A 23,940-nucleotide genomic window follows, 5' to 3' on the forward strand; every position below is an offset into this window, starting at 1 on the left:
TATGGATATAGGTCTGAATCCCAGCCTGCCACGTAGGTATGGACAAACTAACCTCTCTGGGCCTCAGGTCCTTCATCTTTAAAATGGGGCAGTAATAGTCCTTTCAGGCTTAGAGTGAGGATTAAGTGGGATACATAAAACACGCTCTCAGGAAGTGGGTGGCTGCTATTATTACAGGTCTTGCTGTTTTTGTTGTTATAGTAGTGTTATTAGCACCCCTGCAATTCCTGCCACCAAGCCAACAGTGTGTCATCAGATGGGTATGTTCTCAGGAATGAGGACACACACTAGTTCTGATGGAGAAAACTTTATTTGAAAACTGTTTCACCTGTGGTTTTATATATAGACTCCTGCATTATGTAATGGGTGGTGATTTTAATTTGTCCTGTGTGCTTACTTAATGGTAGGTCTAGCAATGGTCTCATGGTAACCACCTCATTTTAACCAGACTTACTAACTAGCCATCCTTAAGGTAAAACTAGATCCTACCAAGAAACCATGAGACAGCTAGTTGAGAAAAGGGTCTCCTTTTCCAGAAAATGTCCCCCTCTTTGTCATATTCTTGGTTTTCTAGGTTCAGGTCTCTGGTGCTCATTTTGCCTTGTCTCTATTTCACCCTGGATTTTCATAACATCTCCTTTTTTACCTCTTGCTTTGTTCTGTCTCCTTTCTCTCAAAGGAGGCTTTCATGTATCAGAAGGAACGAGTCAATTTAAGACATGGATCATCCAGGGAGAAAAACCTGCTGGAACAAATAAATTAGTGCAGCCTGACGTGGGGCATGTAGAGAACACTCCCATCTTGTTGGAGTGGTTTCTTTTTTAAAAAGCAGACAGCTGGCGGGAAAGGGAAACCAGAAAAACCTGATCTGTTCCTTGTGTTCAGTGGGCTGTGTGGAAGATTGGAGATGAGGTTTTGTGTCTGGCAGTAGGCCAGAAGGATAGTGTAACTTTAGACTCTGAGAGTGGGCAATCATTGTGACAAGCATGGATTTTAGCCAAGGGCTCTTGAGTTCTGACTGGACAAGAACCTGACTGGGTCAATCCTCCAAGTTTCTTTTTTTTTTTTTTTTCTTTTGAGACAGAGTCTTGCTCTGTCGCCCAGGCTGGAGTGCAGTGGTGCAATCTCAGCTCACTGCAACCTCCCCCTCCCAGGTTCAAACGATTCTCCTACCTCAGCCTCCCAAGTAGCTGGAATTACAGTTGCATGCCACCATGCCTGGCTATTTTTTGTATTTTTAGTAGAGACAGGGTTTCACCATGTTGCCCAGGCTGGTCTTGAACCCCTGGTCTCAAGTGATCAACCTGCCTCAGCCTCCTAAAGTGCTGGGATTACAGGTGTGAGCCACTGTGCCTGGCCCCAAGTTTCTTTTGCAGCATCAACATTTAACTTCTAAACAAAAAACGAGCTGCCCTTTTTTACAGTAAGATAGTACTATGAACTACAGCAGCCATTCACTGAGTACTTACTATGCGCCCTACACTGACCTAGCTGAACACAGCCTCAGCTTTCCAGAACACCACCATGAGGTAGGTGACGCGATTTCCTTTGTGCAAAGCAGATAATTAAGACTCAAATAGTTTTAGGAATGTGCCCACGATCAAACAGTAAGGGACAAAGTCAGAATTCAAATTCACATCTCCGTTGACATTTCAATCACCCCTTTATTTTACTTTGCTCCCCTTCCCCAGCCAAAGCACTGTAACCTGTAATTACATTTAGAGTTGTATTTGTCATAATGGTGATGGTTCTGTTTTTGTCAAAATTACATAGGCTATAAGTTATAGACTAAGACTGGCATGGAACTGAGTGAAATTTAATGAAATTGATGCAGAATTGGGCCTTCATTTAAGCCTAGTGATTGCAAACACTGTGATTCTGCATTCTCTAACCCAGGGGTCCCCAACCTGTACCCCAGGGCCAGGTACCAGTTCTTGGCCTGTTCGGAAATGGGCCACACAGCAGGAGGTGAGCAGTGGGCAAGCAAGCATTACCGCCTGAGCTCCTCCTCCTGGCAGATCAGCGGCAGCATTAGATTTTCATAGGAGTGCAAACCCTATTGTGAACTGCACATGCGAGGGATCTAGGTTGCACGCTTATTATGAGAATCTAATGCCTGATGATCTGTCACTGTCTCCCATCACCCCCAGATGAGGCCATCAAGTTGCAGGAAAACAAGCTCAGGGTTCCCACTGATTCTACATTATGATGACTTGTATAATTGTTTTATTACATATTATAATGTAATAACAATAGAAATAAAGTGCATGATAAGTGTAATGCACTTAAATCATCCTGAAGCCACCCTCCCTCACTGGTCCATGGAAAAATCATTTTCCATGAAACTGGTCCCTGGTGCCAAAAAGATTTGGAACAGCTGCTCTAACCCTCCCACCACCTTCACTCACTTCTTGTATGTTGTCCTGGGCTAAGGGCTGTGGAAATGTTCATGGGGTCTTTGTTCTACCATCTCAAACTATGTGCAAATCCTAAGAAACTTGTGAGATAAAGTATTTGGCTAGTGGGAAAAAAAAAATTGATAACGTTTTTAACATTAACTGGAGTGACAGTTTGGTAATTGGCTCTCTGAGAAAGCTTCAGCATATTCTGAAAATTGGCAGGTAGCTCCAGAGTGAGCTAATTAGTTAGGAATGACTTTTAATACTCACTACCTTTAATAGCCTACCCTTGGAGAAAAGACAGATAATGAACACTGGGAAATCTATGGTGCTGCAACTTGACCTTTGTGCCATTTGGGGGAAATGAGGAAGATGAGTCATAATTTATTATTTAAAGTCCTCCTTTTATAATGTGTTGTTGTGAAAGATTTGACAAATAATGATTGCTCCTTTAGGGACTAATTTAATCAAAGAAGCAGAAAACAGGAAGAATAGAAAACTTGTGTGACTAAGCAATGTTTAATTTTATTTGAAACTGGCTCCACCACCCTGGTGATAGGAACAGAAGGTCCTATGGAGTCTTCCCATAGCAAGAAACCAGGCTTGTAACAGGGTGTAATAGAGTGACACCCCACACCTGATGCCCTGTAAATGCAGAGTCTGCAAATGCCTCTCTTTTGATGCTTTCTCAAGGTAAGTCATAAATGAAGTCTTACTGCTTTAAAAAAGTAGCTTGCCAACAGTTGCCCAGGCTCCCCATGGGACTGCGCTTCACTGAGCACCTGAAGAAAGTATTCACTGGAAATGGGCTCTCCTGGGAGACTGTCTGGATCCCGAGTGTCTGGCGTTCATGTTCCCACACCTGGCTGCTGCTTCTTGCCCTTCCTTGGCTGCAGGTGTGAGTGCTTGTTTGTTTAAACCTCGCTCAGCACTGCTTGGAAAAACAAAACAACATGGTTACTTGTCTGGGCATTGAATGTTCTTCCTGAATTTTGGTCCTGCCCATTGGCCCAGAGGCGGAATGGGTGGGGCAAGTTTCGGTGTGAGTTTGGGAAGTTTCGAGAAGACGCTATGGGCTGGGTCTGTTAGGTTGGGGTTGCTCTTGGTTTTAATCCTTTTGGAATGTCTTGAGGGTCAGGAGCGTTGCCATTGATGGCTATGGGAGTTGTCAGGCTGTGGCTCTCTTTCTCACAGAGAATGCCAGAGGCACTCGGGAAGGCATTTGCCAGGGCTCTGACAGATGTAAAGTAAGCCTTATCCATGTTGTGTTCTCACCTGGACACCTGGAAGGTGCTCAGTATAGAAAAGTCACGAGCTAGATGAGATACCAGCTTGATGTCGACTCCCTCCCCAACAATGGCTGCCTGTCTTCGTCTTGATGCCTGCCAGCAGGTAAAGGGGGTGTGCCCCTGGGACCTGGGTAGCAGCAGTCCTTGGGAAACCCAGGGTTTGTCACCTGTGGTCACTTGACCCTTGGTAAATTACCTAACCTTTTCATTCCACATCTCAAGGACAGCAAATCCATGTAGCAGTTAGGTTGTTAGAAGAAATGATGTTGACAACCAAATGTGAAGCTCTGATATGGTTCTTTTCCGGTATCATAGCTACTTGCTCTTTAAAGAACTGGTACAATGTTGGGGGCAGAAAAACCACATCATGCAGTGATGTTGCTCAGTCAGGCATACAGGTAGAGAAGAGCTGTCTCTATCCTTAGCTCCTTAGGTTTGTCCAGGGCTGCTCAGTGTGGCTGACCCTGTCTTGCTCACTGTCATGTAACCTGGAACCTACAACATCACTGCATGATGTGTAGACCTGGAACCTACTGTAGTATCTTTTTCTTGAAGGCTGTATTGTGCAGTAGTTTCCAAACTTGAGCATGCATCAGAACCCCCTGGTGGCAGTGTTAAAGCAGATTGCTGGACCCCACTCTCAGAGTCTGATTCCATAGGTCTGGGGTGGGGCCTAAGAATTTGCACCTCTAACATGTTCTGAGGTGCTGCTGCTGCTACTGGTTCAGGGAACATACTTAGAGAACCACTGCTCTAGTGTGCTGGAAGGAGCAGGAGCTTTGGAGTTAAGCAGATTTAAATCCAGCTATGGCACTTACTTAATGTTGTGACCTTGAGAGGTTTTTCTTAATTTCCCCAAGTCTTAGTGAACTCGTCTGTAAAATGGGAATAATACTTACTTCAAGACTTTCTAGAGAATTAGATGACAGAGCACATAGAAGGTTTTCAGCAATTACCACTCTTTTTGCTATCCTGAAACGCATCATATTTGCTCCATATGGGGAGGCATAAGAGCATCTGGTCTTAGCCATGTGTTGACCTTTAGGCTCTTCTTGCCAATCTATACAAGCTAATAGGAGTAGAGGAAGTGCTAACGGAAGTAGAAAGCATGTTTGCCTCTGGGTGAGTGCCTAAGGGGAAGACTGAAAATGTGGATGGCCAGATGTGGCTAGAATATATTAACACTTCCTGACTTGCCTGGTGGCGTATCAGCCCACACACCATGGACTCTCAGTGAGCAGGAACCAGATCTGTGCCTGACATTCAGGTCACAAATCTTCCAACCCACAATCTGTCCTTATACCTGGGCTTTTGGAAGAAATCTTCCAATCTTGGTATTTCAGATTGGGAAACACCGAAGCTCAGGATCTCCAACCTCATCTGTATTCTTCATGTAGCATCACAATCATTTTAGTGTCCTTAGGAAACAAGTTGCCTTATTCAACTGTTCCAAGGTTTAATGACTCTCTCCAAATGCATTATCCCGTTGTCATACTAAGGATGATCCTGAAAATAGGTAACTGGTATGGAAATATATGGTAATATGTAGACCAATACACACATTTTAGAAACTGTCCCTTTTTTGTCATATAAAGCAATATTATGTGTATCATAAAACTACTTCTCTAGAGATCTGAGTAGTAGTTCTAATCATTTATCATATTGCATAATTATGCATATCATATATGCAAAATTTTTGCATCTTTAGGGCTTATTTAATGTAGGTGGCTGCTATCTAAATGATGCCCTTCCCTGGGCCACCATTTGCTTTGGGAACATCAGACTTTTTTGATAGCATTCCTATTAAAATACTCAAGTCCAGGGGCTCTTAAACTATAACCCATTGCCTGTTTTTATAAATAAAGTTTTCTTGGAACATGACTATGTCCCTTTTTAAATGTGCAGAGACCAAATGGCACTCAAAGCCAAAAATATTGATTATTTGACCCTTTATAGACAGTTTGCAGGGGTTTCTGCCTCTAGTCAATAGGTGCAACCTGCTATCTTTTGCCACCAGACGGCGTTGGATGTGTCGCCTGGTTATCACAGCCAGACACCAGTCTGGACACCCTGGCTTTCCAAATGGGCAGAACTCAGAGAGCCTGTTCCTTGTTCCCTACCAACAGCATGACCTGCCCTGCCACTTGCTCTGCCAACTCTGGGATGCTTTGCAACAAATGCCTGGGGTCACCCCCTTCTCAGGCTGCTCAGGAGCTATAGCACACCCTCAACACTCTCTTGAGTCCCAATGCTATTATGTTTGGGGACCCTACTGTTATCTTACATTTCTATTCAATTTTCTTGAAGGATGGGCTGTATGCCTGGCTAAGCAACATCACTGCATGATGTGTAGACTCCATGACTGAAACCAGCATCCTATAGGAAGAGATGCAATATTTTAAAAATGGCCAAGGCAGCACATTTAGATACTGAATGTCAGCCTTATTTTATGGAGGAAATAAAGGCTTTCAGGAGCGAATTGCCAGTTTTTATTCCCTGCTACCCTCACCCACAGAATGCCTTTGCTGGACTCTGTCCTCTCCCAGACCTCACTTCCTCATCACAGCTAGCTCTTCCAGCCACTCTCCGATCCTTTTTCTCTTAGAGTTTGCTCCATTGATGATCCATTTTATCCCATATCTCAGCAGCTTCTATAAACATGTTTAGATACCACTCTAAATGAGCAAAAAACCTTGATCACCTAGGTCAAAAACCTAGAGCCACTGCACCCAGCCCTGATAGGCATTGTTTCTAAATCCTTGTGGCTACTTTTACTCAACTTTAATTGTCTCAAGTGTTTTCATTACAATTTTTGAATTAGGAATAGAAAATTGAATTGGCAAATAGGAAAATTGTTTTTTGATTACTACGTGAAGACTTACTCTAAAGACCAATTTACTTTTTGCTTTACTTTTAACTTTTGAGTCCCTGAGAAATAGACTCTTAAGTCCCCTCCATCATAGTCTTCCTTACTCTTCTCTGCCAAGGTTCTTAAAACAGGTCTATTCTTGTTCTCCCTGCTTCTAAGTTTCCATGCACTACCGTGAGAAGTCTGGCTCCCATACACAGCATGGTGGAACTGCTCTAGCCAGGTCAGCAGACCTCTGTGGGGCCACATCTGATGGACACTGATTCACCTCTTACCTTTCTAGACCTGTCTGCTGCATTTGACTCTGTGGAATGCTCCCTCTTTCTAGAAATTTCTACCTCAGTGCTTTTCTAACTTTTCTGACTGCAACTCAACTTTCTTGAAGGAACCTGTCACGTAGTAACCCAGTAAACACATACATGTACATAGCTGAAACTAAAGTTTCCCAACATAGTGCTTTTTCCTTAACTGTATATAAGGAACTCTGATATTTCCAATTTCATTATTTTTAGTGCTAATCAAAACCAAATAAATTAATTTCACAACTCATTAACAGGTCATGTCTTGCAGCTTGAACCCTTATGCTTTTGACACACCTTCCTCTGTAATGAGTAAGGAAGTTTCTAGGAAGTTTCTTACCAGTTGATTAGCATCAAATTTATAGTTTAACCTGTAAGAAGCTGTGTTGGAGGAAACCCATTAGCTTGGATGAGAGTGGGAGGAAGGTAAAGAAAAATTAGATGTAATAGGTGTTTGTGGTTGTTGATGGGGTGAAAAAGGGCAATGACAAGAGGAAGACTGGGTTTGTAAATAGGACATGTAGGGAGGTAAAGAGGATGATTACAAAAGCAGGGGAAAGAAATTTGCCTATTTGACAGGCCTATTGTGAAAATTAACTTTCAAAGTGGAAATATTATTTGGTAGTGTCTATTGTACTTTTGGAAGAAAGATTATATTATTATGAAATAAGAATCACATATGCTTTTTCTCTGCCCAATTAAAGATTGATGGAAAAACTTCACCCAAACTGGAGCATTTTCAGTAGAGATCTCCATTTTCTTTGCCACTTGACAATGTATTCAGACTAGATTTCTCCACTGCACTTATGCATCACATCTAGTTAATCACTGGAGACCTCTGCGTGCTTCTTAGGCTGACAGAATTTCAAGCAGAACAGAATCAACCTAAGAAACTGGATTTTCCAGTACTACGGCTGAGATAAACTTGCCTGTTAACTTCTTAGACTCGGCACAGATCCGTCTTCTGAGGATTGAACACATGTAAGGCATTGTTTCCTCTTTTTTTTTTTTTTTTTTGAGACGGGGTCTCTGTCACCCAGATTGTAGTGCAATGCTGCGATCATAGTTCACTGCAGTGAACTTGCCCAGCTAATTAAAAAAAAAAAAAATTAGAGATGGAGTCTTACTATGTTGCCCAGTCTGGTCTTGAACTCCAGGCCTGAAGTGATCCTTCTGTTTCAGTCTCCTGAGTTGCTGGAGTTGTAGGCTAGAGCCACTGCATCTGGCCCTGATAGGCATTGTTTCTGAATCCTTGCGGCTACTTATTACCTGACTTTAATTGTCTCAGGTATTTTCTTTATAATCTTCGAATGAAAAACGGAAATTGTTTTTTGATCACTACCTGAAGACTTATTCTAAAAACCAATTTACTTTTTGCTTTACTGTTTTTGTAACTTGAGTCCCTGGGAAATAGACTCTGAGATGCCCATTTGGATGCAGGAGGTTTACTGAGGACTGCACTCGACAACACTGGTAAGGAGTGAGGAAAGCAAAACTGGGCAGTGGGAAAAGTGGAACTGCAATGCAATTTCAACTGAGGCTTTGAATGGTCAATAGGAGCTGGGGATCCCGGCTGAGGCAAGAAAGCAGGCCTTTGTACCCCACAACCAGTAATTAGATGTAGGCCGCCACTGGAAAGGAGGTGCAAACTTGGGCAAGGCAGTTTCCTTTGGTAGAGGGCAGTTCCTGTGGAGGGATTCATGGGTGAGCAATGAGCAGCCAACTCACTCAACAGCTGGGGCAATGAGCACCTTAGTTCTGAAAGGGGGATCTCAGCTGCACACTACAATGTGCACTACAGATGTGTTAGTCACTCCAGTCATCTTCAATCTGGTTATTTCCTGAGCATGTATTACATTTCAAATAATTTTTCTTCTAAGACTTGGTTTTTTAAAAAAACTCACTTTTTGGGCCTGGCGCAGTGGCTCAGGCCTGTAATCCCAGCACTTTGGGAGGCCGAGGCGGGCAGATCACGAGGTCAAGAGATCCAGACCATCCTGGCCAACGTGGTGAAACCCCGTCTCTACTAAAAGTACAAAAATTAGCTGGGCGTGGTGGCGGGCACCTGTAATCCCAGCTACTCGGGAGGCTGAGGCAGGAGAATCACCTGAACCCGGGGGGTGGAGGTTGCGGTGAGCCAAGATCATACCACTGCACTTTAGCATGGCCATAGAGCAAGACTCCGTCTCAAAAAAAAAAAAACAAAAAAACAAAAAAAACTCACTTTTTAAACTTTTAAGTCCAAGTTGTGCAGGTACATGTGCAGGTTTGTGAATAGATTAACTTGCGTCAAAGGATTTTGTTAAGATTTTATGATGAAGACACCAAAAACCATTCAAACAAAAGCAAAAATTGACAAAGGGGATCTACTTAAACTAAAGAGCTTCTGCACAACAAAGAAACTATCAGAGTAAACAGACAACCTAGAGAATGGGAGAAAATTTTTGCCAGTATGCATCTGACAAAGGTCTAATATCCAGCATCTGTAAGAAACTTAAACACATTTATAAGATAAAAACAAACAACCCCATTAAATAGTGGGCAAAGGACATGAACAAGACACTACTTAAAAGAAGACATATATACAGCCAACAAGCATATGGAAAAAAAGCTCAACATCACTAATCATTAGAAATATGCAAATAAAAACCACAGTGGGATAGCATTTCACACCAGTCAGAATGGCTATTATTAAAAAGTCAAAAAGTAATTGGTGCTGGTGAGGTTGCAGAGAAAAGGAAAGACATGCTGTTGGTGGGAGTGTAAATTAGTTCAACAATTGTAAAAACCTCACTTTCTATTAGTATGTATTGTTCATGACAAGAGATTAGAAATCATTAATTTATGAAACTAAACCGTCTCCAGATGCCCTGAATTATCCTGTGTGCGGAAGTACATAGTTTATATTTTCCCCATTTTTCTTGTTACATTGTTTCATTTCTAATCCAGTGAAGGCCTTTGCCTTTGCAGGACCAAACCCTTGATGATACATTTTGTTATTAATAGCGTTAAAATCACAGGGCTGGAAAAGTAGGATTATTTTACTTTTTTCAGAGAATATTTTTAGAAATTAATCTTACAAGATGGCATACAGTTGACTGACCCCATATTTCCTTAATTTCCTACATTCTCTGCTTTCCCATCATCATTGAATTAAAAAATATATAGTGTGTGCATTCAACATTTTGCTTGAGATATGCCAGGAGAATGGAGAAATAATCCTTTTCATCCTGCTGAAAAGTCCTGAAATCAAGACCTCCTTGATTTTTATCAAATATATGTAGTTACAGTGTATGTCAAATAATGTCATATGAAATTAAGTTTTGCTTTATGTACTAAAAAGGAAATAATTCTAATCACCCCTTTGCTTTCTCCCCATCAAAAAAGCTAGCTAGTTGATTGAATACATTCATGCTATTTTCATTTCATGGTGAAAGTTATCTTGTAAACAGAAATAGCTGCTCTCCTAAGCACGATCATGTGAACCACAGTGTTGGTCACAAGCATCAGTTCTTCTGCAGGGAATTCTGCTGACCACTGTCCCTATTAACCAGATTAAAATCTTTTTTATATCCTATAACAATACATTATACAAACAGTGACTGCATTTTGGTGCTTATGCTAGAAAACGTTTCCTCAAATCAAAATTTGAAGTGAAAGCTGAGATAAGATGTTGTGAAGAAGGCTATTAGTGACCATTATAATCGAAGAGAAAATTCTCTGCAAAATATTAGAGCTAATACTTAGAAAATAAAAGGCAGCAATAAAACAGGGACACTCTAAATTAACGAAAAATTTATATAGCCAGAGAAGATTGTAACCACATTGTGATATCAACCCCATCCTAATGATGCTCCAAGTTCACAATGTTTATATATTGTGCTCTGGGAAAGCATTTCCCCGAATTTAAATTTGTTTCTATTTGAAAAATTAAACTTGTCTTATATGAGCTTTGAAGCATATGAATTTTTATTTTAAGATCTCACTTTTTTGTTTTGATGCTTTAAGTTTTTGTTGTTTTGTTTTTAATGTTTTACTGTGTTAATTCCATGATGTATGAATCATTTTAGGTCATTTCTAAGAGAAGAAGCATTAGTAGATCAAGAAAGGGCTATAGAACCAAGGAAGAAGGATGGGGAGAACAGGAGGAGAAGTGAAGGAAAGGACAGAGAAACTTGGAGAATAATAAAGAGCAGAAGACATCCTGGAGACCAAGACGATAAATGGTGTTAAAAAAAGAGAAACTGTCTACCAGATGAGGCAGTCTGGCTGGTGGAAAGAGTTCTGACCTCAGTTCAAATTGGGGCTTAGTTTCTCATTATGCAGCAGACGTTTGTCAGCTAACTGATATTTACAGAGTTCCTGTTATGTGCTGGCATTGTGGTGATAATGGTGAGACCTCGAGTGTCCTTGACAAGTTACTTGAAAGCTTGGAACTTCTTTTCCACCATGGATATGATAGGTTCTTAGAAGAGTAGGAATGACAAACGTATGTTATATAACACACTTAATTATTAATGGCATTTCTAATTTTATTAAGGTTTTCAGTTGACTAACTTTGGCATGCTATTTGTATCTTAAGTTCAGGGATCTCACCTTTCCTCTATCCATTCCCAATTGATTATCGAATGGTCTTTAACATGTAAAGAAAAACTGTTTTTTTTTTCTTCCAGTGTGTTTAGGGTGTGCATTTCCTGGCCCTACTGCTTCCTTTTCCTGTTGAATGAACAGATACCTCAAATATAATCTGCCCCCTAAAAGTCAAATTTTCTCTACATCCCATGTCCCAAATCTACTACTTCTTTTTTCTGAGTGTGTTTTCTGTGCAGTTAATAGCACTGCCATACACAGAGTTACCCCAGCCTGAAACCAGGGTCACCACCATCCCTGCCTATCCATCCTACTACCTTTACCTCCTCCACTCTCATCCCTGCCTCTACATCTCCATGACCACATCTTGGTTCCTGCCCTCATCACCTCTCAGTCAAGACCATACTCAGATATGTGGCCACCACAGGCAGATGAGATGTTTGGGGACCCTACTAACTGTTATTTTACATTTATTTTCACTTGTTTTAGATGATGGGGTTGTGTGGGAGAGGAGTGGGGAAGAAGAGCTGTTGACATGCATCGTTTCTGTAAGATCTGGAGCCATTGCATGCTGCTTCACCTTTCCATACCCCACTTAGCACAACAAAATCCAGCAAAATCCAAAAACTCAGACCACCCCCATACATACCTAAGAAGGCAGTTCATGGTTCAAGCATGGCCTTCAGGGATCTCACTACACAGCCGCTCTCGAAATGCTTCTTCCAACTTCACTTAATTCTTTCATTGGGAAGAGCTTAAGTAAATATTTTGTTTTTTCCATCTTATAAAACTTCTAGTGGATGTGTTAACACCTGGAGCAAACTACTAACCTGCCCACTAGTATACATTCTCCTTTTTTATTCTTCTGCCGTGTTTTTAAAAATCAGAGACACCATTACTGTGAGATGCACCATGTTTTATTTTACCAGTAAGAAAGAAAACAAAAAACCCAAACAAAGGTGGTACATCAAAGGCTGCACCTCATTGAAGGGGAAACAAGAAGTATGCCTGCCATCCACCAAAAGAAAAAAAAAGGCAAGAAAATAACATGTCTTACACGGGTGGAGATAGGAAAAAGGAAAATTTCCCTTGAGAACTTAAACCAAGAGCTGTTAGTCATTTAGATTTGTGGTCTGAATTCATACTAACTGTGGTTTTAAAAAAACCCCAGAGAATTTTTTTGCTAATTTATTTGAGTACTTTTATTATTTACCAATGAATTCACTTACCTATCCACAAAGATATTCATTTTAAAATCACCATCAAGAACAAGGTATCTTGAGTTACTATATCGATTTCAATATGCAGGACACTTTTATACATCATTCATGGTTGATTGTAAGAAAAAGTACTGGTTAAAAAAATGAGGGTAATTATTTCCATTTCTTAGAGATGTTGAAAGATAAAATTTATACCATTTGATTCAGTCTTGATTTTAAGACTGAATTTTAAGACTTGATTTATACCATTTGATTTTAAGTCTTGATTATGAATGCATAGGCCATATAAATAAATTCTCTTGGCAATTTCACCCCTGTTTTCCAAATCATCATATACAGATAACACAAAACAGAATGTACTACCAAGAACCCTGATCCAATTCTTCTTTCTTTTAACTTTTGAAAATATTTTAGTTTACTTTCATTTGTTAAAAGTATTTTAGCTAAATATCTAATTCTAGATTTAACACCATGCTCCCTCAATAGAACTTTTTTGACTAACAATTATGTCAATTTAGATTTACATTTAATCTACAAGTTATTTTAAATGGTTTCAAATAAAATGTACACACAGATATTAGTTTGGTTACACTTAATCTTTACCACCTTTATTGAGGTATGATTGACAAAAATTATTTATATTTAAGGTACATAACCTTACTTATATGTTTTGATGTATTTATACACTGTGAAATTATTACCACAATGAAGCTAATTAAACTGTTGCCCAAACCACCTGCTGCTCATCAATTACCTCACTGAGTTACTCTTTTTCTTTTGGTGTGGTGGTGACATGATGTGGCTGTGTCCCCACCCAAATCCCATCTTGAATTGTAACTCCTACAATTCCCACATGTCATGGGAGGAACCCGGTGGTTGGGGGTTGAATTACAGGGGCAGGTCTTTCCTGGGCTATTCTCATGATAGTGAATGAATCTCACGAGTGAATGGTTTTGAAAATGGGAGTTTCTCTGCACAAGCTCTCTCTTTGTCTGCTGATGTGACTTGCTCCTCCTTGCCTTCCGCCATGATTGTGAGGTTTTCCTAGCCAGGTGGAACTGTGAGTTCTCAATTAAACCTCTTTCCTTTGTAAATTGCCCAGTCTCAGGTATGTCTTTATTAGCAGTGTGAAAATGGACAGGTGGGTTTATTTGAGATCTATTTTATTAACAAAGTGTAAGTATACATGACATAATTCACTAGAGTCATTATGCTATACATTGAGCCTCCAGTTCTTACATATCTTTTAACAACAGGTTTGTATCATTTGATTAGTAATCCCAATTTCCCCAGCCCATGGGGGTGTCACCATTCTACTTTCTGTAACTATGAGTTCTATCTACTCTTTTGCAGATTCCACATAAAAGTGAGTTCATGCAATTTTGTATTTCTATGACTACCTTATTTTACTTAGTGTAATTTCCTCAAGATTTATCCATGTTTGCAAATGGCAGATTTTTTCTTTTTTAAGGCTGAGTAATATTTCATTAGCTAGAGAGATAGGTAGATAGATATAGATATACACACCTCACTTTTTAAATTCATTCATCTCTTAATTGACAGCTAGGTTGTTTTCATATCTTGTCTATTGTGAATAATGCTGTGATGAACATGGGAGTGCAGACATCTCCTCAAGATAGTAATTCTATGTCCTTTAGGTATTGCTATGATTTGAATGTTTGTCCCCTTCAAAACTCAGCTGAAATTTATTTGGTTGCTCTTGTGGCAATGTTAGGAGGGGAGAGCTTTGGGAAGTGACAGGACCGTGAGAGCTCTGTCCTCATGGGCGGGTTGAATGCCATTATAAAAGGGCTAGTTTTTCCCCTGTTCCTTTAGTTTTTTTGTCAGGCAGAGAATTTAATTTAAAGTAGTCTCATGTTGGGAATGTGCCTAGATTACTGGAAGAAACAGATGCAAATCAACTCTGGAAAAACACAACTTCAGTCCGAGCTGAGAGTGATTGCAAAATGAATGCTGGTTTCAGAGATGTCAAAATGTGAGTATGTATGTCTTAGAGTAGATAGCGGCGGTGACGTTTCAGCTGGACCTATGGCCAAGTCACTAGAGTCTGCATTTCCCAGTCTTCTCTGCAGCTGCCTAGGGCTGGGTGACTTACTAGGCTGAGAGCAACCTGGGGTTCCCTGGCTGGGAATGGTGACCATTGTGGTAACCTCCCTGGACCCAGGGTGGAAGGTCCGGGTTGGAGATAATTGAGCTCACCACCCCAGCCTGGATTCCTGGATGATGTGAAACTCAGAGACAACTATTTGTCCCAGACCAGGGGTTTACTGGAGAGCTGAGGGTCAGACAGCAAATATTTTAGGCCTTTTTCACCATAAGGTCACGGTCGTACTACTCAAGTATCTATGTAGAAGGAAAGCAGGTATAGCCAACAGGGAAATGAGTGGGCATGGTTGGGTTTCTATGAAACTTTATTTGTAAAACAGGCAGCAGTTTTGATTTGGCCCCCAGGCTGTCATTGGTGTCCCCTGCCCTAGCCCACCCACACATGTTTGGAGTACTATGAGACATTTAAGCTACTATATTTTGGGTTTCCTTGTTATAGCATCTTAGCCTACATCCTAATTAATGCAGCCTTCATTATGGATTAATTCCCCGAGAAATTTTTTAACTGGCCCAACTTTTCATCTGCTTCTACTCTCACCTGAGCTAGCAGTGGTCTTCACTTGTTGTCCCTGCTTCTGGTCTCGAAATCCTGTGTGTCACTCTTCAACCTGCAACCAAGATGGGTCTTTCAAGAAATATTCTCATTTTCTCCTCCTTAAAATGCTCTGAATTTACTCATTGCAAAGAGTAAAATATAATCTCCTAGAGAAGCAGAAGAGACCTTGATCCAACTACCGCCTGCCTATCTTTTCAGTTTATGCTACAGGCAACGTTAATCTTCAGAAAGATTTTTGCTTGTGTCACCCCTTCTTGCTGGAATGGTCTTCCCAACAAGAGCCTTTCATTGCACTTCAATTACCTATCACAACTCACTTCCAGGGTTTCCTTTTCTAACAGGCCCTTCTAGATTCCCCCCTGCTAAGAAATGAACTACCTGCAAGTAGAGGCTGTATCTTATTGGTTTTTATTCCTCTAGGATCTGTCACAGAACAACCTCTGTTCATGCCTAAATGAGTGAGCACCTCTTTCCTCTTCTGTCACTACTAGTAATTAAAATGATCTCTTTACTTAGGAAATATATAATATTTATAAAATCAGCAGAATAGGCCATTCTATTTGGAAAGGATAAAAGGAGGCCCACAGACTAAGTATACTGCACAAAGTTTATTTATCTAAGATTTGTTCATTTTCATATTTCACTTGTGAAAGGCTACCCTCCTCCTTTCAAGCATCTGTTCCTTCTCCCATCTGTACAATAAAAATCCTCTCCTATGTATTTACTCACTTTTGCCTTCATGTCTGCAATGCTCTTCTTTGAAACACTGTTGCCCAAACCACCTCCTGCTTAGAGGAAATCTCACTCTGTCATTTCTTTTCTTAAATTGTATGTCCAGTTGCTCTGCACAAAGATGCAGTCACCTTGCTCTTTACTGGGTGGAATAGGATGTTAAATGAAATGTTTGTATGAGATCCTTTTTGAAGTTAGTTGTGTGAGAGACCATCCCCTTTTGTAAGATTTGTCAAAAGTGAGTGGGTCAGAGCTGGACTGATAACTTCTAAACCTTGTTCATACACCAAAGGTGTGAGATATTGGGTGATAAGAGAGTTGGGGAGGCTGTGTACAAAGAGCTGCAAGTGTGCTGTGAGTCAGCCCTTGCCTCAGCAACCCCCACCAGGGAGGAGGAGTGAGGGGTGCCTGTCCCATCTTCAAGCCCTGCAGAAGCTTCAACAGACCACCCCCAGAGAGCTAGATATGTGCCTCTTCGAGTTATAGGGTCAGCATGGCCTGAAGACTGATGCTGTCCTGAGTGAAGGTCCAGATAGTGGCTGGGCAGAGCTGTGAAGCAGAGCGGCTTCAGGGTTGGGATGGACCAGACCTTCCAGAGGTTGTCAGGAGTTTTCCCCTGGATGACATCCAGGTGCAAATGAAAGATGCAGCATGGGGTCACTTCAAGTCCTAAGGGGGCTACTTGGAGAGGCTAATACAGCTCAGCAGAGAGAAGCCGAAGATGGAACTGGATATCTAAGAACCTCAAACAACCAGCTGGGATAGAGATGCACAAGCCTGGGTCAAGAGAACTGCAGGGAAAGATCCACATTGATGCCAAAAACTTCCACAAAAGCTCCAGCAAGAGAAACAGCTCTACTTCACTGCCAGGCTCAGAATGCATGAAGCCAGCTTACAATAGTGCCAATTGGGAGAACTTTCCTTCCCCCCTTGTCTCCCCTCCCTCTCTCTTCAACAACAGAGGGGCAGTCCAACACCAGGCAAGAAATCTGGCAGAAGCAGAGGAGAAATGCTGGCTGGTGAAAGGGGAGAGATGCTGACACTGCCCTTTCTGCAGGACTGGAGTCCTGCCCAGGGCCAGGCCTCACTGGAGGAAGGGGAGAAGGCACAATTGTACATCCTGTGCCTGCTTGGATTCCGATAAAGTCCCGTAGTTTCAGATTTCTGCATTGAGGATGTTTGCATTAGCTATGAGTGACCAGAAAAATCATAAGAACAGCCTGCATTCTCACCAAGGGCCTGGGGGAAGCACAGAACATAAACATAAAACTGTTTTATGATTACATTTCCCCACATCAGGCTTGTTCAATAAGTCAATTAAATTTTTTCACTTATATTTTTAACTTGTGAAGACAGTGGCATGTTTATTATTCCCAGTAATTTTTGCCAAAATTAAAGGAAAGAAAATTGGAAGGCAAAATGACGTGCTTTTGGAACTGAGGTTGTGCTGGGAACAAAGGCATTATTTGCTAAGAGTAAAAAAATACGACGCAAGGAAATTAAGAACTGAGCCTATTTTCTTGTTAGCTACTTTCTCATGCACTTTAATAGTATTTCATAAAAGTATCTTTCATGCTTCAGACATCTCAAGATTAGGAATATGTGTTATTTTTCGCTCCTTCTCTGCAGCTTTTTGGAGAGGAAAGCAAACAGAATCACGGGGAATCTATTCAGGTAGTGAGAATCTCATGAAGTACAGAAGACACTCTGATTAAGACCAAAACCTCCTGAGGAGTTTGGCTTTAAACCCCATGTTCTCCCTGGCAAAGTGTCTTGATCTGAAATCCATGTTAAGCTAAAATGCCAAGAGGATAAAATATCTTCAGACGTAGCTTTAGCTGGGCTGCTAAAAGGAGCCAAGTGGAAGAAAACTGGCAACCTGGAATATTACAGCCGAGGTTTGCTAGTGGCTGCACAGGTATGGGAGTGATAGTGATGTCAGCGGCTAGAACATCGCCTTCATTTTCCTACAAATCAATTGCAAAATGGCTTCCTTTCACCACAAGGTATATGTGGAATAAATACTCCTGTTGCTATGAAATTAAATATGGGCAAGCTTGGCTTCAGGGACTGAGGTCTTGATTTTAGAGGGCAGGCTCAGTGGGAGTGAGTCAGAAAGAAACAGCTTTGTGAAAGGGCTACTTATTTGAACTGGGAGTGGGGCCACAACCCCCACCATCCTCTGGGAATGCGATAGGAGGCCTCTGCTCTCTCTAGCATGTTGCTTCTGGAGCCTGCCAACAACGAACCTTTCTAAGGCATATGCCTTACCTCTAAACTTATGTTTATATCAAGAAATATGTGAGGGTGGCTGGGCACGGTGGCTCACGCCTGTAATCCCAACAATTTGGGAGGTGGAGGCGGGTGGATTGCCTGAGGTCAGGAGTTCGAGACCAGTCTGGCCAATATGGTGAAACCCTGCCTCTACTAAAAATACAAAAAATTAGCCAGGCATGGTGGTGTGTACCTGTAATCCCAGCTACTCCAGAGGCTGAGGCAGGGGAATTGCTTGAACCTGGGAGACGGAGGTTGCAGTGAGCCGAGATCGTGCCACTGCACTCCAGCCTGGGTGACAGAGCAAGACTCCATCTCAAAAAAGAAAAAAAAAAAAAAAGAAATACGTGAGGGTACTGGGCAAGATGGCTGACTATGCAGACAGGTGGAACAGCTGCCACTGAGGGACCCAGATGACTGGCACACTCCTAACAGATCTTCAGAGGGATGGCACTGAGAGTTAACAGAGGGAAGACTCAGAAGCTGGGCTGAAAGTGGAGGAAGCTGGGAACCCTGCATGGGGTTACCATGTACCAGGACTCATTCCTGGCCTGCAATGACTCCACGGGAGTGACTGAATTGAACTGGTAAGGAGCAACCCACTCTCGCCATAGGCCTCTGGAATCCTGGCAGGAGGAATCCCCTTGACCACTACAGACACTTGCCACACAGAGTTGGCAAACAGACTGCTTAGAGAAGTGGTAGGGGCGGCACACCAGCTGATGTGGAGCCCAAAGGTTTAGTGCAGCAGCGTCTGTAGCAGAGCACGGCCAGTGACACTCATCCCCCTAGACTTGACTTGCTCCCAGAAGAGACTCTGGCCCTAGAGGAACTGTCAAACCTGAACTCTGCAGGGCAGTCTTGCCCATCAGATGGAGCCAGTCCAACCTGAGCACCCGTGGTCTGTTGGCCTCTCCCTGGGCCCCAGGTTGGCCATGCCTGCTTGCCAGGCAGCTTCAGGTGCCCTGGGGGCCTATATCCTAACTCCTGTGCTGGCAGACAGTGCCTGAGAAGCAGAGAGCTCCAGCAGGGTGGCCCCCATGGCCATGCACCAGCCCGCCCACTCCCTCCCTCCACTGCAGCTTCCCCCAGGCCCATGGACAACCCCCAACATTGCTTTGCTGGGGTGTGTATGCAGTGGGGTGAGGGGGTCGCCTTTCCTGCCCTGCCAGTGTGTATGTGTGCATGTACCCTGTCCTGCCACTGTTGTGGTGGGAGTGCACTCCGCACCACCACCCCCACAGAGGAACTGCCATTGCAGTTGGAGACTGGGTGGGCACACAGCTAGCCAGCCCCACCCCCACCAGCAGTCTACTGCCTCAGGCAGCACCAATACTGCCTCAGGAGTGAAACTAGGAACAGAGAACAGCAGATTCTTTCACCTCTGAGTGACCACCCCTGAATGTGGTTCACAGAGAGTGCACACATACCTGTGCCCACCAGTGCCCTGACCCCATGCCATCACTCCCAGTGCATCTGTGGGCAGCCACCAACAGGGGCCCCCTGCCCCCTGAGCCATGCTGCCTCCACCACCGTTGTGAGTGCCCACATGGAGGCAGGCACCCTGGGACCCACTAGTACCCTGCTGCAGACAGCGAGTGTGTACCCTGCTGTGTTGTCACTCCCACTGCTGCTGGCACATGGAAACGAGGATGGATCTCACTGCCACCACACTACAAAACCCTTTAGCTGACACCACACATCAAGGTGTAGTGACCAGTGGTCTAGGAGCACCTTGGCTTCCATAGTGCAGATAATTCCTAACCTTAAGGAGTCAGAGAACAAAGTCAGGCTTGATACAAGTCCCCCAGAGTTAGAACACACAGTCCAGGAGTTTGGAAGTGAGTGTTGGCACCCTAAAATCTTCCAGAAATGAAGCCAGTTGACTGACTAACTTATGGCACAATCAAACCCACAAGGTCATCAAATAAAGATAAAAGAAAAAAAAAACATCTAAAGGTCACCAACTGCAAAGATTGAAGGAACTTCAGCCCACAAAGATGAGAAAGAACCAGCACAAGAATTCTAACAACTCAAAAAGCCAGAGTGCCTTCTTTCCTCCAAACAACCACGTTATCTCAAGGATAGTAAGGATTCTGAACAAGGCTGAGATGGCTGAAATGACAGAAATATAATTCAGAATATGGACAGAAACAACGATCATTGTTTTTAGAAATACATTGAAAACCAGTCCAAGGAAGTTAAGAATCACAATAAAAAAATACAGGAGCTGACAAACAAAAGAGCTACTATAGAAAATAATGTAACTGACCTGATAGAGTTGAAAAACACATTACAAGAACTTCATAATGCAATCACAATTATTAATAGCAGAATAGACCAAGCTGAGGAAAGAATCTCAAACTTGAAGACTGGTTTTCTGAAATAAGAAAGTCAGACAAGCATAGGGAAAAAAGAATAAAAAGGAACAAACAAAACCTCTGAGAAAATACAGGATTATGTAAAGAGATCAAATCTATGACTAATTGGTGTCCCTGAAAGAGATGGGGAGAATATAAGTAACTTGGAAAACATATTTCAGGATATCATATATGAGAACTTCCCCAACCTAGCTAGAGAGGCCAATATTCAAATTCAGGAAATGCCAAGAACCCGAGTAAGATACTTCACAAGAAGATTATCCCCAAGATATGTAATCATCAGATTCTCCAAGGTTAAAATAAAATTAAAAATGTTAAAGGTGGCTGGAGAGAAAGGTCAGATCACCTAGAAAGGGAAGCCCATCAGACTAACAGCAGACTTCGCAGCAGAAACCCTACAAGCCAGAAGAGATTGGAGGCCAATATTCAACATTCTTAAAGAAAAGAATTTCCAACCCAGAATTTCATATCCAGCCCAACTAAGCTTCATAGGCAAAGGAGAAATAAGATCCTTTTAGACAAGCAAATACTGAGAGAATTTGTCAACTCCAGGCCTGCCTTGCAAGAGCTCCTGAAGGAAGCCCTATATGGAAAGAAAAAACCATTACCAGCCACTACAAAAACACATTTAAATACATAGACCAGTGACTCTCTAGAGCAACCACAGAAACAAGGCTGCACAATAAGCAGCTAATATCATGATGATAGGCTCAAATCCACACATATAAATACTAATCTTGAATGTAAATGGGCTAAATGCCCCAATTGAAAGGCACAGAGTGGCGAGCTAGATAAAGAACCAAGACCAATTGGTATGCTGCCTTCAACAGACCCATCTCACATGCAATGACATATATAGGCTCAAAATAAAGGAATGGAGAAAAATCTACCAAACAAATGGAAAATAGAAAAAAGCAGGGGTTGCAACCCTAATTTCAGACAAAACAGACTTTAAATCAACAAAGTTTAGAAAGGGCAAAGAAAGGCATTACATAATGTTAAAGGCTCCATTCAGCAAGAAGAGCTAACTATCCTTAATATGTACACACCTAACACAGGAGCACCCAGATTCATAAAGCAAGTTCTTAGAGACCTTCAAAGAGACAGACTCCCATAAAATAATAGTGGGAGACTTCAACACCCCACTGACAGTATTAGACAGATCATCAAGGCAGAAAATTGACAAAGATATTCAGGACCTGAATTCAGCCCTGGATCAAATGGACCTGATAGACATCTACTCTCCATCCGAAAACAACAGAATATACATTCTCATCTGTACATGGCACATATTCTAAAATTGACCACATAATTGGACACAAAACAATCCTCAGCAAATGCAAAAGAACTGAAATTATAACAAATCACTGTCTCGGACCACAGCAGAATAAAATTTGAGATTAAAACAAAGAAAATAGCTCAAAACCATACAATTACATGAAAATCAAATAATCTACTCCTGAATGACTTTTGGGTAAATAATGAAATTAAGATAGAAATCAAGAAGTTTTTTGAAACTAATGAGAATAAAGATACAACATACCAGAATGTTGGGACATGGCTAAGGCAGTGCTAAGAGGGAAATTTATGGTGCTAAATGCCCATATCAAACAGAAAAATCCCAATTTAACAAACTAACATCAAAACTAAAACAGCTAGGAAACCAAGAGCCAACCAACCCCAAAGCTAGCAGAAGACAAGAAATAACCAAAATCAGAGCTGAACATAAGGAGATTGAGACAAGAAAAACTATTCAAAAGTCCGCAAATCCAATAGTTGCTTTTTTAAAAAAAATTAATAAAATAGATCACTAGCTAGACTAATAAGAAAAAAGAGAGGATCCAAATAAACACAATTAGAAATGACTAAGGGGATATTACCACTGACTCCACAGAAATACAAATAACCATCAGAGAATATTATGAACACCTCTATTCACACAAATTAGAAAAATCTAGAAGAAATGGATAAATTTCTAGACACATACACCCTCCCAAAACTGTACCAGGAAAAAATTGAATCTCTGAACAGACCAATAACGAGCTCTGAAATTGAATCACTAATAAATAGCCTACCAACCAAATAAAAGCTCAGGACCAGATGGATTCACAGCCAAATCTTACCAGATGTACAAATAAGAGCTGGTACTATTCCTATTGAAACTATTACAAAAAATTGAGGAGAAGAGACTCCTCCCTAACTCATTCTATGAGGCCAGCATCATTCTGATACCAAAACCTGGCAGAGACACAACAAAAAAAGGAAACTTTGGCCAATATCCATGATGAACATTGATGCAAAAATCCTCAACAAAATACTAGCAAATGAATCCAGCAGCACATCAAAAAGCTTATCCACCACCATCAAGTAGGTTTTATCCCTGGGATGCAAGGTTGGTTCAACACACGTAAATCAATAAATGTGATTCATCACATGGACAGAACTAAGGACAAAAACCACATGTTAATAGATACAGTAAAGGCTTTTGATAAAATTCAGCACGCCTTCATGTTAAAAACTCTGAACAAACTAGGCATTGAAGGAACATACTTCAAAATAATAGGAGCCACCTATGGAAAAACCCACAGCCAAAATCACACTGAATGGGAAAAAGCTAGACAGAAAATCAGAAATAGACAGAGATTCCCTCTCTCACCACTCATATTCAACATAGTACTGGAAATCTTAGCCTGAGCAATCAGACAAGAGAAAGAAAGAAAACACATCCAAATAGAAAAAAAAGAAGTCAAACTATCTCTGTTTGCAGACAATATGATTCTACACCTAGAAAACCCCATAGTCTGTGCACCAAAGCTCCTTGATCTGACCAACAACTTCAGCAAAATCTCAAGATACCAAATCAGGTACAAAAATTAGCATTCCTATACACCAACAACCATCAAGTCAAGAGCCAAATCAGGAATGCAATTCCATTTACAATTACCACAAAAAGAATAAAATACCTAGGAAAACAGCTAATAGGGAGATGACAGATCTGTATAAGAACCATAAAACACTGCTGAAAGAAATCAGAGATGACACAAAGAAATGGAAAAACATTCCATGCTTATGGATGAAAAGAATCAATATCATTAAAATGGCCATATTGCCAAAAGCAATTTATGGATTCAAAGTATTCAAAGCTATATCCGTATAAAACTACAAATGACATTCTTCGCAGAATTATAAAAAATAATTTTAAAA

General features: G+C 41.4%; 1 long non-coding RNA gene across 1 annotated transcript in view, besides 3 other annotated features; it reads left to right on the forward strand.

Annotated features, from left to right (window-relative positions):
- Positions 2,605 to 2,899: a silencer, noted in NCBI's record as "tiled region #6720; HepG2 Repressive non-DNase unmatched - State 7:EnhWF". NCBI's record gives its function as "represses a minimal TATA promoter and a strong SV40 promoter by Sharpr-MPRA in HepG2 cells {active_cell/tissue: HepG2}" and the evidence as "EXISTENCE:reporter gene assay evidence [ECO:0000049][PMID:27701403]".
- Positions 3,496 to 23,940, forward strand: part of LOC101927189 (uncharacterized) — a 67,686-nt gene continuing 47,241 nt past the window's right edge. The window contains exon 1 of the long non-coding RNA NR_125842.1: positions 3,496 to 3,791. This is a non-coding gene — a long non-coding RNA (uncharacterized LOC101927189). The remainder of the gene's footprint in view (positions 3,792 to 23,940) is intronic.
- Positions 19,085 to 19,704: an enhancer, noted in NCBI's record as "H3K27ac-H3K4me1 hESC enhancer chr6:53810369-53810988 (GRCh37/hg19 assembly coordinates)". NCBI's record gives its function as "activates a minimal SCP1, AML or CMV promoter by ChIP-STARR-seq in naive and primed H9 embryonic stem cells {active_cell/tissue: H9 hESC(naive and primed)}" and the evidence as "EXISTENCE:reporter gene assay evidence [ECO:0000049][PMID:30033119]".
- Positions 19,705 to 20,323: an enhancer, noted in NCBI's record as "H3K27ac-H3K4me1 hESC enhancer chr6:53810989-53811607 (GRCh37/hg19 assembly coordinates)". NCBI's record gives its function as "activates a minimal SCP1, AML or CMV promoter by ChIP-STARR-seq in primed H9 embryonic stem cells {active_cell/tissue: H9 hESC(primed)}" and the evidence as "EXISTENCE:reporter gene assay evidence [ECO:0000049][PMID:30033119]".

This window comes from Homo sapiens, chromosome 6 (genome assembly GCF_000001405.40).
Source record: "Homo sapiens chromosome 6, GRCh38.p14 Primary Assembly".
NCBI classification, from domain to species: domain Eukaryota; kingdom Metazoa; phylum Chordata; class Mammalia; order Primates; family Hominidae; genus Homo; species Homo sapiens.